Source organism: Homo sapiens, chromosome 11 (genome assembly GCF_000001405.40).
Source record: "Homo sapiens chromosome 11, GRCh38.p14 Primary Assembly".
Taxonomy (NCBI): domain Eukaryota; kingdom Metazoa; phylum Chordata; class Mammalia; order Primates; family Hominidae; genus Homo; species Homo sapiens.
The window spans coordinates 123,601,115-123,616,948 of record NC_000011.10 but is presented as its reverse complement, the minus strand read 5'-3'; the positions used below and the strand labels follow the sequence as shown (position 1 = coordinate 123,616,948).

The 15,834-nt window shown below is 48.6% G+C and overlaps 1 protein-coding gene across 42 annotated transcripts in view, besides 1 other annotated feature; it reads right to left on the bottom strand.

The window, feature by feature from the left end:
- Positions 1 to 15,834, bottom strand: part of GRAMD1B (GRAM domain containing 1B) — a 269,346-nt gene that overhangs the window by 10,819 nt on the left and 242,693 nt on the right. For all 42 annotated transcript variants that reach the window (NM_001367421.2, NM_001367420.2, NM_001367419.2 and 39 more), the window contains 9 exons: positions 13,408 to 13,523; positions 11,471 to 11,627; positions 10,151 to 10,340; positions 8,147 to 8,290; positions 7,036 to 7,154; positions 6,611 to 6,753; positions 4,085 to 4,188; positions 3,291 to 3,494; positions 2,114 to 2,204 (listed from right to left, as the gene is read on the bottom strand). In NM_001367421.2, the coding sequence (NP_001354350.1) occupies positions 2,114 to 2,204; positions 3,291 to 3,494; positions 4,085 to 4,188; positions 6,611 to 6,753; positions 7,036 to 7,154; positions 8,147 to 8,290; positions 10,151 to 10,340; positions 11,471 to 11,627; positions 13,408 to 13,523 (1,268 nt within the window). The remainder of the gene's footprint in view (positions 1 to 2,113; positions 2,205 to 3,290; positions 3,495 to 4,084; positions 4,189 to 6,610; positions 6,754 to 7,035; positions 7,155 to 8,146; positions 8,291 to 10,150; positions 10,341 to 11,470; positions 11,628 to 13,407; positions 13,524 to 15,834) is intronic.
- Positions 12,949 to 13,448: an enhancer, noted in NCBI's record as "H3K4me1 hESC enhancer chr11:123474209-123474708 (GRCh37/hg19 assembly coordinates)". NCBI's record gives its function as "activates a minimal SCP1, AML or CMV promoter by ChIP-STARR-seq in primed H9 embryonic stem cells {active_cell/tissue: H9 hESC(primed)}" and the evidence as "EXISTENCE:reporter gene assay evidence [ECO:0000049][PMID:30033119]".

The window sequence follows — 15,834 nt, the reverse complement described above, 5'->3', positions numbered from 1 at the left end:
CTTTAAAACTTTTATGTTGAATTTCAGTGCCACGGTCTTTAATTTTATCAGCACTCACTGGGTCATCTGAACACCCGCCTCTTTGGCACAGCCTGCTCACGATCTTGGTGCCTGCATTTGGGTTTATGTTTGCAATCCTCTCTGTGCTAAGTGAAGGTCAAGGGATACCCCTGTGTGCTGTCTAAGTGAAGCCTGCGCAGTTGTCGAAATAGAGAAAGGAGGTGGCTGAGTCACACTGCAGCAGGCATGTGGGGGCAAGAGCCTGCCAGACACAGGGCAAGCTGTGCTGTGTCAGCCCGTCCCACGTGTAGGCTGTCGGCAGACACTTGGCCTGGATCCTGCAGCATTGAATTAGAGAGTCTGATCATTCTAAACTTACAAAACCCAAAAGTTAGTTAATAACATGCTATACAATTTGCTCAGGGGTGCAGGCCTTCTCTACTTAAAGTCAAAATGCAGAAAGAGCTTAAACACAGAACTAACTTGAGGTTACAGTGCTCTACAAACCAAAATCCAATACAAGAGATTTAATTTAACAGAACAATGGCATGAATCACATTAAATCGATGTTGCTAAGTGTGACTTTTACTAGTTTTACAGCTACTTTTATTTACTTATTTATTTATTGAGATGGAGTCTCACTCTTTCACCCAGGCTGGAGTGCAGTGGCGCGATCTCAGCTCACTGCAAGCTCTACCTCCCGGGTTCACGCCATTCTCCTGCCTCAGCCTCCCGAGTAGCTGGGACTACAGGCACCTGCCACCATGCCTGGCTAATATTTGTATTTTTAGTAGAGACGGGGTTTCACCATGTTAGCCAGGATGGTCTCGATCTCCTGACCTCATGATCCGCCTGCCCCAGCCTCCCAAAGTGCTGGGATTACACGTGTGAGCCACCGCGCCCAGCCAACAGTTACTTTTGTTTTTAATTTTGTAAAAATATCTTCGTTTCTTATGCTGTCATCAGAAGAATTTTGCATTTACTTTTATTTGACATATTAAGGTTGGTGAAAGAGTCCACCTTATGTTTCTCATGGCTTTCCCTCCTGTAGTTGGTCCCCAGGACCGTCCTAGACCTTGTCTTCTTTGTCACATGCTATACTCTCTATGGATGCTTTCATTCACACCAAGGCTGTAATGTTATGGATAATTAAGCAGTGACTGCAGCCTACACTTGTCATCTGAGCTCCAGGACCACATCAGCAGAAATCTGTCACCTCTTCCTGGATAACCTATGGCACCTGAGACATACCTGGAACTGTTAATGTCTTCTTTGGAAATGCTTTGCTAAATTCCAGATGTCTGTGAATGACACAACCATGTATGGTCCCTCGAATCAGTAGCGCATCTTCCTTCCCTACCTCAGCCTCCTGAGTAGCTGGGACTACAGGCGCCTGCCACCACGCCTGGCTAATATTTGTAGTTTTAGTAGAGACGGGGTTTCACAATGTTAGCCAGGATGCTGTCCATCTCCTGACCTCATGATCCGCCTGCCTCGGCCTCCCAAAGTGCTGGGATTACAGGCGTGAGCCACCATGCCCAGCCAGCATAGCATCTTTCTATGCAAGTTACTGTGCCTACTGTTTTATAATGTCATAGCAATTATTATAAATAGTCTACATTAAAATAAGCATCCACTTTTCTTGTATTGTAGGCATTGATTTTGTCTGGCTACCCTGCCAACGTGTGGGCTCCATGAGTGCACAGTTCCAGTGCCTGGCACAGAGCAGACACCCAGAACATCTAATGAAGGAATGAACTCCTAAAATGCCCTCTAGCATTTCTCTGTTAGCATTTAACCATCTGTGCAGGAATTTCAAATGTTCTGTCTCTCTCACCCACTTGAAACTGAAACCCTGAAGGGTATGGATGCTGCATGAAGCATTTTCTTCTGAAGGCCTAGCATACAGTAAATGCTGAACAAAGCAGAGAAAAAGAAGCGAAGAGGTAAGCAACAGGCAGAGCAACCAATCCAGACAGAGAAGACTAGAGGATAAGGCAAAAACCAGGGCAAACAGTAAGGGTGCTCAGATGCTTCAAGAGACGAGGGCTGGGGCACCAGGCTGGAAAGGGAAGGTGGTGAGGGCAGGATAGGAAAACCTAGAATCCCTTACACACAGCTGATAACCAGCAGCAGCTTGGACACGCTCTGCAGGTGGAAACCGTTGGGGGTGTCCTCCGGGATATGCCGCGTCTGTGTGGAACCTGTGGGGAGAATTAAAGAGACCATCACCATGGTGACCCACAAGTCCAACAACTGCTGGTGGGGACACTGGTCAAACAGCAAACATCAGAGACTGATGGAAAAATGTCCATGACACTGTGACAGCAACGATATGCGGAGACTGCCAGCTCTCCAAGAGGAGAAGGTAAAATCCTCAAGGGCAAGGTCATGGGTTGGGTCAGGTCATCATTGAACAAATGAGAAAATCAACAGGCCCATGTAGCTAGGATACACAGGCCCAGGACAAAGGGATCTTCAGCTATGGGAGAGGATGTGGCATTGGGCTAGGACTAAAGACGGCTGGCTTCTGGGTCTGGATCTATTCCTAGTAAGCTACATGATGGAGGACAAGTCATGTAAGCTCTCTGAGAGTCAGTTTACTCAAATGCAATGTCAGTCAGAAATCTTAAATGCAAAACACGTAACATGGAAGTGCTAGGGGTAAAGCTAGGCGGCATGCAGAAGGCTGGCACTCTTCCCCCACTCTCCCCTCTTCTTCTGCCTCCCCTGTCCATATCCAACTCAATTAGTTGGTCTCTAAGGCCCCTTAGAGTCCCAGGTTTCCAGGATTCAGCAAAGACAAGGATGTGAATGGCTGGGTGGGAAGAGGAAGAAATATTAAGGGAGTCCACGGCCTGAGAGGGCAAGCCTGGGTTGGCCCATGCGGGTTGAAGTGAACGGGGACTGTCTTGGTCTCCCTGATCTTTGTGTAATGAGGTAATCTCTGTGGTCTGAGCTGTGGGATCTCCTTAGTGTATTTCCCAAGAACTTGGAAGCTTCATACTTGAGCCTATGCAGGTAGCCATGGAACTAGGGCAACACGAAAGCATAAACACTAAGGCAGCTTTTGTTAATTAGAGCACACATATGGGTTCAGCTGGGGCTGAGGAACTTAAAGAGCAAAGAGAAACAGAGCATTGGGAGCCTCAGATTTAGTGACTTACGTTCAAATTATATACAAATTATAGCCAAGGTGCAAAATGAGTGTGCATGTGTGTGCCTTGGTGTGGGCATGCAGCTCCAGCCCAAAGCTTAGTCCACCCGACCTGTCCCCACCTGGCACACACCTGCCACATGTTTGATCCTGTGGCCCACATCCTCATCTGTGGGCGTGGTGACCGGGCTCATCACCTCTTCCAGGTGAGGGACTCGCAGGTGGGCATGGGGACGCTTCCTCCTCCGCACCGTTGTAGTCTTGCTGGCCTTCTCTTTGGGAGATTGTCTGTGCATCTCAGCCAAATAAGTGCTCTCCGTTTTGGCCAGCTCGCTCTCTATCAGAGACAAAAGGACCACAGGAGAGGCCACCTTCAGCCCTCCAATGCAACTCTCTGCAGAACCATTTTCCTATTCTGTATTCTGGGAAGTTGGTTGGGTGGGTTGAGGATCCTCAGGGATGCCCATGAGCCTCAGGAGGTACTTGTGGGACCCAGCCCCAGTCAAACCCTTCCTCTGGGGTTGTTCAACATTGCAAGGAACCATATGTTCCCAATATCTGCACCCTCATGTATACAATTTGGGGCATACACGTCTTAAATAGATGCATTCACAGGCATTTTACAAATACTTCTCGTCACAGAGCCACCTATATCACTAGGTCTGTGGTTCCTTTTGGGGTGAGGGGTGTTTTATAGATCCCTCAATGATCTCTTAAACATCCTAGACACAGTCTAGAAAAATGCACTTGTCCACATACATGCCAAATTTGGTGTCCACTTCTGAAGCAGGTGTGGGTACCTCATGAAACTACTTCACCTTTCAGTCTCTGCCTCTATTCTCAATACCATTCCCCTGAATGGTGGGCGGCCGCAGTGCAGTTTACCATCTCTGCAGCCCAGCTAGCAGCAAGGATTGCAGTGCTCACCTAAATGGCGGAAGTAGTCCTCCAGCCCACTCCAGAAGTTCTTCTCGATGAACGTTTTCACTAACCCCCAGGGCTGTTTTCGATAGCGCAGCTCTGTGGAGACCCTGAGGAGCAAGCCAGACACAAGATCAGTCATTTCCTGGGTGGGCCTGCCTCTGCTGGGAAAAGGGAAATTCGGAGTTAAGGCCAGATCCGCTTCACATTTGTACTAAACTTTACAAGTTAAAAGGTCCTTCCACATCCATCTCACCCTCTGAAGTCAGTGGAGCTGGTGGATTTATCCCCATTTTATAGATAAGAAAACTGAGCCGTAGGATATTTAAGCAGAGCAAAGGCTAACAACTAGGGTTCTGACTCCAGAGTTCTCTTATGATGGCACACTGCCTCCTCTCAGGGGTCTCACATAGGGCCCAGCAGCCTGCCTGCCAGGCAAGGGGAAGCTCTGCCTGAGGTTCAAGTCTTTTGAGAAACTGACACTGAAAGAAAGTAAGACGGCTCATCCTTTCATCAGGGTCATTCTCTCCTTCTCCAGAGACTTTTAAGTCTAAGTCAAGTTCTGGGTTTTTATCACTTTAACCTTTAAAAGTATGTCATCCTGGGCAACAGAGTGAGACCCCCATCTCTACAAAAACAAAAATAATTAGCCAGGGTCATGTCTGTAGTCCCAGCTAATGGGAGGTTGAGGTGGAGGTTGAGGCTGCAGTGAGCCATGATCACACCACTGCACTCCAGCCTGGGGAAGAGAGTGAGATCCTGTCTCAGAAAAAAAAAAAGAATATCATCTGCTGCCAGCCCTGGCTCCTGCCTCTCCACTGCACCCCAGACCTCACCAGCTCTTGCTCTTTTCCAAGCATTCTTGCTCCCAGTCACTGGTCACACTTCTGTCCATACCCCCTGCAGTATCAGCTCTTTTCTCTCCTATGCAGCAGCCCTGCTCTTTGCCTCCCCCTTAGGTTCATCTGCATCTGTCAATAGATTCTCCCAGCTAATCCATCCCGCCCCATCCCGCCCTGTGACTAAGGCTGCCAGCCCAGCCTCATCCCCCTCCTCAGGGATGCCACCTCCACCCATGTCCAGATGGGAGAATGCCTGTACTTGGAGACATGTCACTCCCCAACTCAACAACCGCTGACTGCATCGTGGATGGGCACCTTCCTATAATGGTCTGTTCAAGTTCACCCAGCTACCTCTGCATGGCTGCAGAGAAAAGATGCAATTGAAAGATCTTCTGAGGAACCTGGAATTAAGAAACCTAGGCACTGTGGAGGAAAGGACAAGAAGAGAAGGGAGAGAGAAGGAAGGGAAATTAAAGAAGGAAGGAGGAAGAGGAGCAAGGCTGAAGGAGGAGTACATGTTCAGGAGGAAGCACAGAACACCCAACCCCCCAAAAATTACCAAGAGAATGAAAAAGATGCAGGCCCTCTTTTTTAAGAGATAGGGTCTTACTCTGTCTCCCAGGCTGGAGTGCAGTTGTGCAATCATAGCTCATTGCAGCCTTGAACTCCTGGGCTTAAGCAATCCTCCCACCTCAGCCTCCCGAGTAGCTGGGACTACAGTACACGCCACCACTCCTGGCGAACTTTTATTTTTTTTCAGACACAGGGTCTCACTACATTGCCCAGGCTGGTCTTGAACTCCTGGGCTCAAGCAATCCCTCCTGCGTAAGCCTCCCAAAATGTGTGAATATAGGCACGAAGCACAAAGGTCCCTCTTGATGCGCACTTCTTGAAGCCCAAGAGATCTCTGTGCGACCTTTTACTAAACTTTCATTTGAACTACATCAGCGAATTTTTGGCTCCTTACAACCAAAAGAACTTGGTCTAAGGTACAGGTAAACAGTCTGATGATTTTCAAATGGGTGTGTGTCTTGCCTTTTCAATTAGACTACAAGTTTCTTAAAATGTCAGGGTCTAAATGTCTTCCTTCCTTTGGAAGCACTTCACAGTGCCCAGAACTAATTATTCACTAATAAGTGTTCTCTGGACTCTGATACGTGCAGGCCCAGCTGGGTGCTGGGAATAAAGTGTAAGTGGAATGGAATTCCTGTCCTCGTGGAGCTCACTGTCTAACACTAATGGCAATCCACGCAGCATGGTGGACAGAGCACAGGTTTACAACTCTAAGATCTGGGTTTCAGTGCTTACTAAAGACATGACTCTTGGCAAAGTTCCTGAACTCATATGAGACTCAGTTTTATCTGAAAAATGAAGATAAATCCACCTCTTTGAGTCGTTCTAAAGACTCCAGTGAATGTAGGTAAAGCGCCTACACTATACTGTATAAGCCACAGACAACCAATAAATAGTAGTAGCTATACAAGTTTTACTAACAAGATGTAGAGAGTGGAGAGAATAATTAACTCAAACAGAGTGGTGGGTGAGCCTCATAAGGCTTCGGAGAGAAAGTAGAATAAAGAGAGTCAGCAGCCAAGCACTCCCCACCTCCTCCTTCCCCGTCAGGAGCAAATGAATGTTCTCTAAGGTAAGGACCCCCGTCTGACCGCACTGGGACTTCCACACACCACACCTGAGTCGGCTCTTGTTCCGAGCCACACGGGTGAGCGTGTAGCGATTGATTGTGTAGAAGTAGTCATGGTAGGGCACGTCGTGGGTGAGGACTTCGGCATCTATCACGTAACATTCACTCTCCTGGCTCGCCTTGTACATGGTCTGCGGGCAGGAAAGGTCCATTGGACAAAACTGAAGAGGAGCAAGAAGCTTGGAAAAGCACCTTCTCCAGCCTCCCCAAGCCCACCCCACCCCACGGCTTCTGAACAGGAGAACCAGGATCACTGGAATCAGCAGCAACTAAACAAGCAAGACGCCACCACCGCTTTGGGGCAAAATGACACTTGCGCCCTGAAACTTCTTCCTGACATCTGCCCTTAATCCTTCAAGACAGAACACAGGATTTTCCAGCTCGCTCTTCTGTGCATCCGCGGCTCTGCTCACCTGTGTCTCCCTGACAGTGGCAGTTTTGGGAGCCAGAGGGTTGGTAAGGGTGATGGTGTAAAGAATCACTCGGCTCTGGTTTCCATTCTCCTCCTTTTTCCATGGATGGAAGATGATATCTAAGGGTAGAGGAGAGCCCTGGAATGAGGAAGGGAGGGCAGAGCCCTCTCCCCAATCCAAGTTTCCCCTCCAAGTGACCTTCTGGACTGTGCTTACTACTGCCTGGCCCCCAAAAGGAAGCCAATGGGAGCCCGAGGGCCGGGGGGAGGGTGGGAAGAGGAGGAGTAGCCGAAGCAGAAAGAGGCTCATTGTAGCATTGTCAAAATTCTACACAATGCTCCAGAATGCTGATTGTTCCTGGGGCTGGGACAGGAGGTCTTGGGGCCACCTACGGGGGTGCTGGCAACACTGGTGTTACTGTGGCGAGGGCCTAGGGTCCCTTGGGAACAAGTCCTCTCCTCTAAGCCATGACCTCCCCGTGCCCTCAGCGTGCCCTCTCCTCTTGGCACACAGGATCGCTGATGCCCAAATGCTTTGTTACAGCTGGATGCTTAGAGGTCCCTGCTGTGGGAAGAGTTTGGGGGAAGGGGAGGAGGCAGAAGCACAGAGGGTCAAAGCATGAACCCCCAGATCCTAGATGTGAGGCCCGGCCTAGCTCCTTCTTAGCTGCATGAGGTCAGGCAAGCACTAACAGTTTGAGTTCCAGCAGCCTCATCGGTGTCCACACACAGGGTAGCTGTGAGGTCTGAATGAGATAACGTCACGTGCATGGCATAGAGTGGGTGCTGCCAGCGAGTGAGAGCCACTGTGCTTTACTAGATGGTGAGCCCTGTGAGGGGAGGGACAGGGTAGGTCTTAGGGGCCGGCATCGAGTGCCTGGTGTGTAGTGGGAAAGGGTGAAGCTGCAGGGCTGGTGAAAAGGGAGGGCAACAGGGCCTGAAGGAGCTCCCGAACCACAGAAGGCTGGAGAGAGGGTGTCTGGGCCCTGAGGTGGCCGAGGGAAGGAGGGTGTGTGGAAAGAAGAATAAGGAAGGGAAGGAAGCAAATGTAGAGAGGGAAGAAGTGAGGATGAAGAGGGAGGAATGGGGGGTACAGTCCCAGCAGAACGGACCAGAGAAGCGCCGCTGCTCCATGAAATCCCGCTGGAAGGGCGAGTTGGTGAAGAGGAGGTCATAGAGCTTGTCCACGCTGAAGTTGAAGACTTCATTCACGTACTGCCGGCCACTCAGGTCCTCATAGAAGGCCTGGACCTCTCCTGCACAGAAGAGAGGATCAGGAAGTAGACAGTGACAGCGGAGGGGGAGGGGGCCCCAGGGACATCCTCCAAGAGCACTTAGGTCTCTGGCTAATATGAGCACAGTCAACAAGGGTATGGAGAGGACACGGAGCAGGACAGCTGAGCTCGTGGGCATGGTTTATGACTTTGCTTTCGGTCTCTTTCTTTTGCTGGGATGCACACCATTTCCTTTAGCTGACACTACCCATTCCTTCTTTACAAAGTGTTTGGGAATGTACGATTTGCTTTTACACTTTCAAACCTCCCTAATTCAGTTGATCTTAGACTAAAATTCAAATAAATGACTACTTCTGGAAGTTGCCTAAACCCAAAGAATGGGGTTTTGAGAGTCTGTAAGTTAACTCTAATCGACAACAAATTGTAGTTGTAACCCATGGCATAGGTCTGTTCGAGGGAACGTAGACTAATCTGGAAGAATCAGTGTACAGAACTGCTGCTAAGGCTGGGGCTGGTCCAATAGGCTGTGATCCCTAACTACAGTTCCATAAGACAGCCTATTTCTACCATGATGTCAATACCTACTCCCCTTTTTAAACTTAGGATTACAGCTTCATCATATAGCAAAATAAGAATTCAAATCAGAATGAGAGGCACACAGAGCAAGGTGTGGGAGGGCTCCAAAAATGGAGCTTCCTTCAGTCTCAGGGATGCAAAGCCCTTCTGGCACATCACTGTGTCCATATACAGAAGATTGCCAGCCAGGGAATTTCACCTGTAATCTGAATTTTCCAGCTGCTACAGGAGGATGCAAATGAGGATACAGGAGAGCTGCTAAAGCCTCAGTGCTCCCCCCCGAACCCTTGGCACCCCTCAGTCCCTAATTACTGCACCTGCATGGGTGGGTATGTGATCTCAGGAGGAGGCTGCCATTTCTGGCACCCCTAGGACCCTGAGGAAACCAGAGAACTCTGAAGTACCCTGTAGGGGTCAAGTCCTATGACTGCACAGATGGGTACTGCACAAGTGCAGCGCAGCGGGTATTCACACCTTAGTTTATGTGAAAGGCACCCTGGAGTTAGGCAGTATCTAACCCATGCAGTCACTTGTGCCAACCCTGGACTCTAGATGGGGGTGGGTAAACCAACCAAAAGTTAGAAAACCACTGCAGGTGGCCCCTGGGAGAGGTGTCCACAGATCCACAAGTGAGCACCGTGCTCATATGCTCACCAGTCATAACAGACCACTCACTCAATGGAGGAAATCCATCAATTGATTTCATGAATGCTGAGAATTTGGCTTCTCTCCATGGAAGGTAAGCAGCAGCATGTTCCCAAGGGAGGTTCTAGAAGCTAATCCTATGCAGGCATGAAGTTAGAAGCTACCTGCTTACAAAAATTAGAGAAACAAGGGAGTCTCCAAACCCTATTTGACCCAGCAACACCTTTTCTTCTAGCTGGGCCTAAATACCCCATGCAGCAAAAATTGCATTAACAAGTTTCGCAGCTATCTTGAGGACGTTTCTGTTAAAATCTAATTATTTCCAGGGAGCAGCTGACTGGCACCTTCCTTGTGGCTTATAAACATTGCCTAGACTTGCGTGTCTGTGAGGGTCAGGGTCGCAAGGCAAGCCAATGTCAATAGGGGGAACATTTAGTGACAAGACTAAATGACAGAACAAAGCATTATCTATGGGAGGCTCCTACAGCAAATGACTGAAAACAGGGATGTAAACTAATAACAGGTACCTTTTGTTAAGGAAGCTCTGCTCCCATCTCTCCACCAGGAACCTAGAGACTAACTACAGTCCCCACATAGAGATCTCCTTTTAGCCTTCAAAACAGAGCAAGGGCCACTCCAGACCCATTTTCAAATGCCCACCTTCATCGTGTGTGTCGGAAGAGTCACTGAGCTCAGTGGGGATGTCCTCATTGTCATTGAAGTCCAGTGAAGGGGAGTTCACAGGAGCGATCATCTCAATCTTCTCCCCCATGATGTTGTCAATGGCGAGCTCCTTTTCCAGGGACCCGTCTCCCTCCAGCGCCTCTTCCTCCAGGGGCAGCCCATCAAACTGGAGCCAAGACAGAGGAGTCACCCACCAGGGAAACCTGGTCTGGATCTATTCTCCAAAGGGAGATTAGGGATGCAGCCTTGGCAGCTCTCATACTCCCAGCTCAGCTGCTCAGGAGCGAAGTCAGAGTCAGGCTCCAAAGCCCTTCCCCAGAGCTGCCACAGAGGATGGGCAAACACAGTACAAGGACTACTGCACTTCTCACGCTCGCCATTCCAACAGCACAACAAGCTCCCCAAATGCACAGAGCTGGTCCCCACAGGCCCAGGCCCTTTCCTGGAGCCGCACCTGCACCATCCTGCAACAAGGTCAGCCTGCCTCCAGGTAGTACCTGTTTATCCTAAGAAGCTCGAAAGGCTTCATAAGCATTTTTTAAAACTCATTCTCTCATTAGCCCTGGAAGGGAATCGATACAACTCTTTACATTTTAAAGATAACCTCAGAGATGGAAAATAAAGACCAGGTATCCAATGAATAATGTTTTCATTCTGAAGGCAGGTGGTCTGATCCATAGCCTACTGAAATACAAGGCTCTTTGAGGGAGTCCTTTCCTGAAGAACCCTACCTGTTCTTCTGCCTGCCAGCACATGCCCTGACCCTCTTTCCTCATCAAGGTTCTACCTCCTCTATTAACAGAGTCCCACAGGACAGAGGTTCTCTTACACATTTTTATGGCTTCCATAAAGTCTACCACAGTGGAGAAATAAGCCACAATACGTATACTCAACAAATATCAACCAAATGAGTGGATAAACAATTAATTGTTCTATAGTTCTATATTCATGCATGACTTTGACGTCAGATCAAGGCAGTGAAAAAATACCTGGAATTGTTCTCTACCAGAAGGGCTGATCAGCAGCAGCCCAGCACAGTGGGCTTGAAATGGTTTTCATCTGCTCAGAAGTCAAACCCAGTCTTGTACCCCAGGCACCTAGCCCCAGCTCTGGACCCCGGGCTATGCCACTAGAATACGGAGAGCCCATCTGCTCCAGAATGCCTCCTTGAAGAAACTGACAACAATGTAACCAATCTCCTCTCTACCTGCTCCCCAGATTGGGTTCCCAGTGAACTATGCTAGGAAACGCTGGCCACAGGACTGGGGGTAGAAGTCAAAGGCTGACTGCCCATACCGAGACGGGGGCCTCACTGCTCCCTGTGGATGTTAGTGTGCTGTTGGTGATGGATTTCTTGGGCAGCTGTGGACTGGCATCTGGCTTGGTCTCTATGCTGCTCTTGGATGAGCTGTCATTCACTTCATTCTCTTCCACAGGGATCTCTTCACAGTATCTGAGAGGAGACACCAGTGAGTCCACATTACCCTCAGTGGTTCAAGATGGCCAACTATTCTAAGAATCTCAGACCTTTCTATCCATCCATATCTATGAGATTTCCTGCTTCTTTGCTTTGTGTATGATCTTCCTCTAACCAAAAATCCCCTGCCTACCCCATTGCTCTTCTGAAATCTCCTTCATATCCCACCCCACCCCTCCCTGCCCCCCATGTAAAATTCCTGGCTGCAAACTCACCTTTCCTAGGCAGCCTCCTTAGAGTTATCCCTACCTAACTGAAAGGATTATTTGTCTTAAGCTATTTTTTTTCCATGGGTGCCCATCCTATTTGAAGCCTCTGAATCAAATATCTGGGTTCTGAGCATGCATTTCCTTTCCCAAACGGTGACGAAGACAGGACTCTGGACATGAGCGCTCCTTAAGTGGCATTGCCCAAATTCTTGATGATAACTAGAAAACTTCCCTGCATTATACACCTAGAAAGAAAACCTCCTTGAGATGAAGGTGGGTGCTCGTCGAGGAACACTTCAGGGATGCCGCTGTAGCCTCCTCTAAGGGAGCAATCATCAGCCTATCATCATCACCATCATCTGACCTGTACTTAACAAATCCAGATGCTTGACAACTCTCCGGAAATCCTTATGTGCATTTTGGAGATAACCAAATGGGTATTCATAGAGGTTAAGCGACAACACTATTATTTCGACTGAGCCCAGACCTAAGCACAACAGACATTCAATGTTCTTTTCTTGCTTTTTTCCCTGTATGCCTCTTGCACGACCACCAAGCTTGCAGCTAGCTACCCTTCCACCCTCAAGCATGCTTTGTGCCAGTCTACAGGCACATCTTCCCATCTTGCTTAACCTATCGACAGCATGTGATACAGTGACAATACCTTCTGCTTCACTTCCTTCCCGTGGCTGCCAGGATAGGAAACCTTCCTAGGGCCTTCCTCCCTCACTGCATGTGCTTTCAAGCTCTCTTCAGCTGCTTCTTTCCCTCACTGAGTGCTCCCAGGCAGTCCTTGAACTCCTTTTTAGGTTCACCGAGTCACTTGAAATTTCAGCTAGTCTCATGACTATCCACTAATAATTGCTGCGTTTATGGCCTCAGCCCAGGCTTCCCTGTGCACTCCACACTCCATATCTAAATGCCCACTTGGCATCTCCATTTAGCTAACAGGCATCTCAATTTCAACTTGCCTAAAACTACCCTCCTGATCTTTCCCCTGAAACCTGCTTTGCCTACAGTACTGTCCATCTCCGTTTGGAACAATGCCATCCTTCTGGGCAGTAAAACCGAAAAAATCTGAAAGCCACCTTTGGTTCCTTTCTGTTCCATCAACATATCCTTCAAAATCTATTCAGGAACTAAACACTTATTGCCACTTCTCCAAACAACCACCATCCCTCATCTAACTATCTAAATTACTCACCAGCCTCTTCACGGGTTTCCCTGCCTCTGCCCTGGTTCCCCTTTAATGTATTTTCAGTGCAAAGACCAGAGTGATCCTGCTGAAATGTTAAATCAGACCTTAGCAATTATCTTTGCCAAACTTTCCCATCCCACTCTCAGTAAAAGCCAACCATAAAGATGGCCAGGCCCTTAGGCTCTGCCCCCTCGAGCTCCCTGACCTCACCTGTGACCACTTTCCCTCCTTCATTCCACAGTTCATTCCATGGCTGCACAGGCATGTGTGCTGTTCCCTCTGCCTGGCAGGTTCTTCCTGCAGGCACTCGCACGGCTGCCTCTGGGCAGCCGCCCTTGGCCTCACTCACCCCATTGTGTTGAAGTCGTCGTCAGGGGGCACGTAGTCCTCGTCATCACTGGTCAGGCCCAATTCGTTCCCATAGCACTGGTGAACAAAGTGCCAGAGCTCCTTGGGACACAGAGGCTTCAGGGGAGAAAAGGAACGACTGAGCCTTGCTCCCTCAGGTCCCCCGACTCTGCACAGAGGCACTGAGCCGGGCTGGTTCCCCTGGAGAAGAGGAGAAACTCCTCTCTCCTTAGCTGAATGAGAGGCGAGCCACCACCCCCATCTGCCTTGGGGGTCTCAGCAGGACACCAGTCTTCTGCCTAGGAATGTGGACTTTAACAAAGCCAGGAACTGGCCTTTCAGTGCCCAATCCCTCAACAGAGGTTTGTAGAACGTGACCAACTGGCTCCCAGAGGATGGTAACTGTCTCACCTTTTGCTCTTATGGAAAAGGTCCAGCACTGAGTGGCATAAACCCATGTGACTCTGGGGCCAAGGGGATCCCAGAGCTTCTGATTAGCACTCTGAATGAATGCCCAGAGGTCCCCTGACCCGGTGCCCCACCACACTGCACAGAAATCTCCTCTTGTATTAACTGTGGCCTTACAGACCCTACTGGATCACTTCCAAGAATGAGGTTCGACCTCAAAGGTGGCCCATTCCATAGCTGGACAGTTCCTATGGGTAGAGTCTTACGTTCCCACAGTTTTAGGAACCTTACAGGTCATCTCACCTAAGCGTGTGACTACCCAACCTGAGGTGGAATCTGTTTGCCTGCAGTTCTATGCATTAGTTCCAGTGTTTTCTTATTTCACCGGGTGCCTATGTGTCCTCCCAAAAAAACACTGTTCTAAGAAAAGTTTGTTCTCATTGGGTTCAGAGTCTCCAGAGAGAGGCAAAGGGATGTCAAAGAACTAAGATCAGAGGCAGAGACCATGAATGAGTCTCAGACTGGGAGGAAGGGGAGAAGGTGGCAGGGATAAGTGTGTGGAAAGGAGGGCAAGGGCATGAAGAAAAACAGAAGCAATCATTATCTTTAAAAAAAAAAATCCCATTTCAAAAATGTTTGCACCGATAGACTTCCTAAAGAATTTGGGTGCAGCACACCAACATGGCACATGTATACACATAGAACTAACCTGCACGTTGTGCACATGTACCCTAAAACTTAAAGTATAATAAAAAAATTTAAAAATATAAAAAATAAAAATTGAACAATATTCCATTGGGAGTAAAAATAACAATAATAATAATAATAATAATTTGAGAGCTCCCAAGCCCACAGTTTCAGGTATGGTTTAAGAAGCAGGCAGCTGGCAGAGTACAATGAGCTAGGATTCCAGCTTTCTGACTAAGGAGAAGTGCCTGGAATGGCAGATTTGGGGCCCTGACTCTAGGCTGGCAGAGTTGGGGGCCGCAGCTCTCTATGCTGGACCTCATAGTGCCTGAGGGAGGTATCACCTCCTTCTCTCCTGGACCTCCCCCTCCTATCTCTGGCCTTTATGTGCAACATCCACCCTGCCTGGGACAACATTCACCCTGCCTGGGACACATCTGCCTCTCTGCCAAACCATATACTGCCCTGCTCCACCCTTTGCTTGCTCTCTGCAGACTTCTCTGACCAGCGCCACCTGGCTTGGCTTGGCCAACCACGATCAGGACAAGCACAGTTAGCAGACTCTCCTCGGCAGGCCCAATTCTTACAATTATTTGTGAGGGCATTTGCGAAGCATATGAATGACCCTGTGTCTTACTTAAAAATGACAGCAGCTGTGAACTGAAAACTCAAACCTGCCAGTAGAGACTAAAACACATAATCATTTTACTATTACTGATGGCAAGTGAAGGCAGAGGACCACAGCTCAAATAAGTTATCAGGAGTGATACTAGGGGTACAGACTCTCAGAAGAGAAGAAACTCTAAATAATAAATCCACTCAATTTTCTTATGCAGCCATTTGTTTGGGCTAGAGTCAAGGCCAATATATGTATATATTTAAATACACCCATGTCAATCATACACACACACACACACACACACACACACACATAAAAATTAATCCTGGGGGAAACATTATGTGTGTGTGTCGGTGCGTTTTCTCCTACATCTCTTTCTCTGGCTTGGAGACAGTTTCTCAACATCCAACTGCATCTGAGTGGGAACTTTTTTTTTTTTTAATTGAAACAGGGTCTTGCTCTGTCATCCAGGCTGGAATGCAGTGGCGCAATCACAGCTCACTGCATGAAGGGGTGGCTTCATCTGTGTCTCTTCATAGTTTCATTTAAACACTCAACTAGTCAATTCGTGGTGGCTGTGTTAACTACATTTTCTGTACTTTAAGTTGTGGCATCTGGGGCCTTGCTGACTGGGGAGGGACCCATCAGGGTTAGCTAATTCCTAGAGAGAGGAAATAACTCATCCAGGAGTGGGCCTTTCATAGTAGCCAGCCC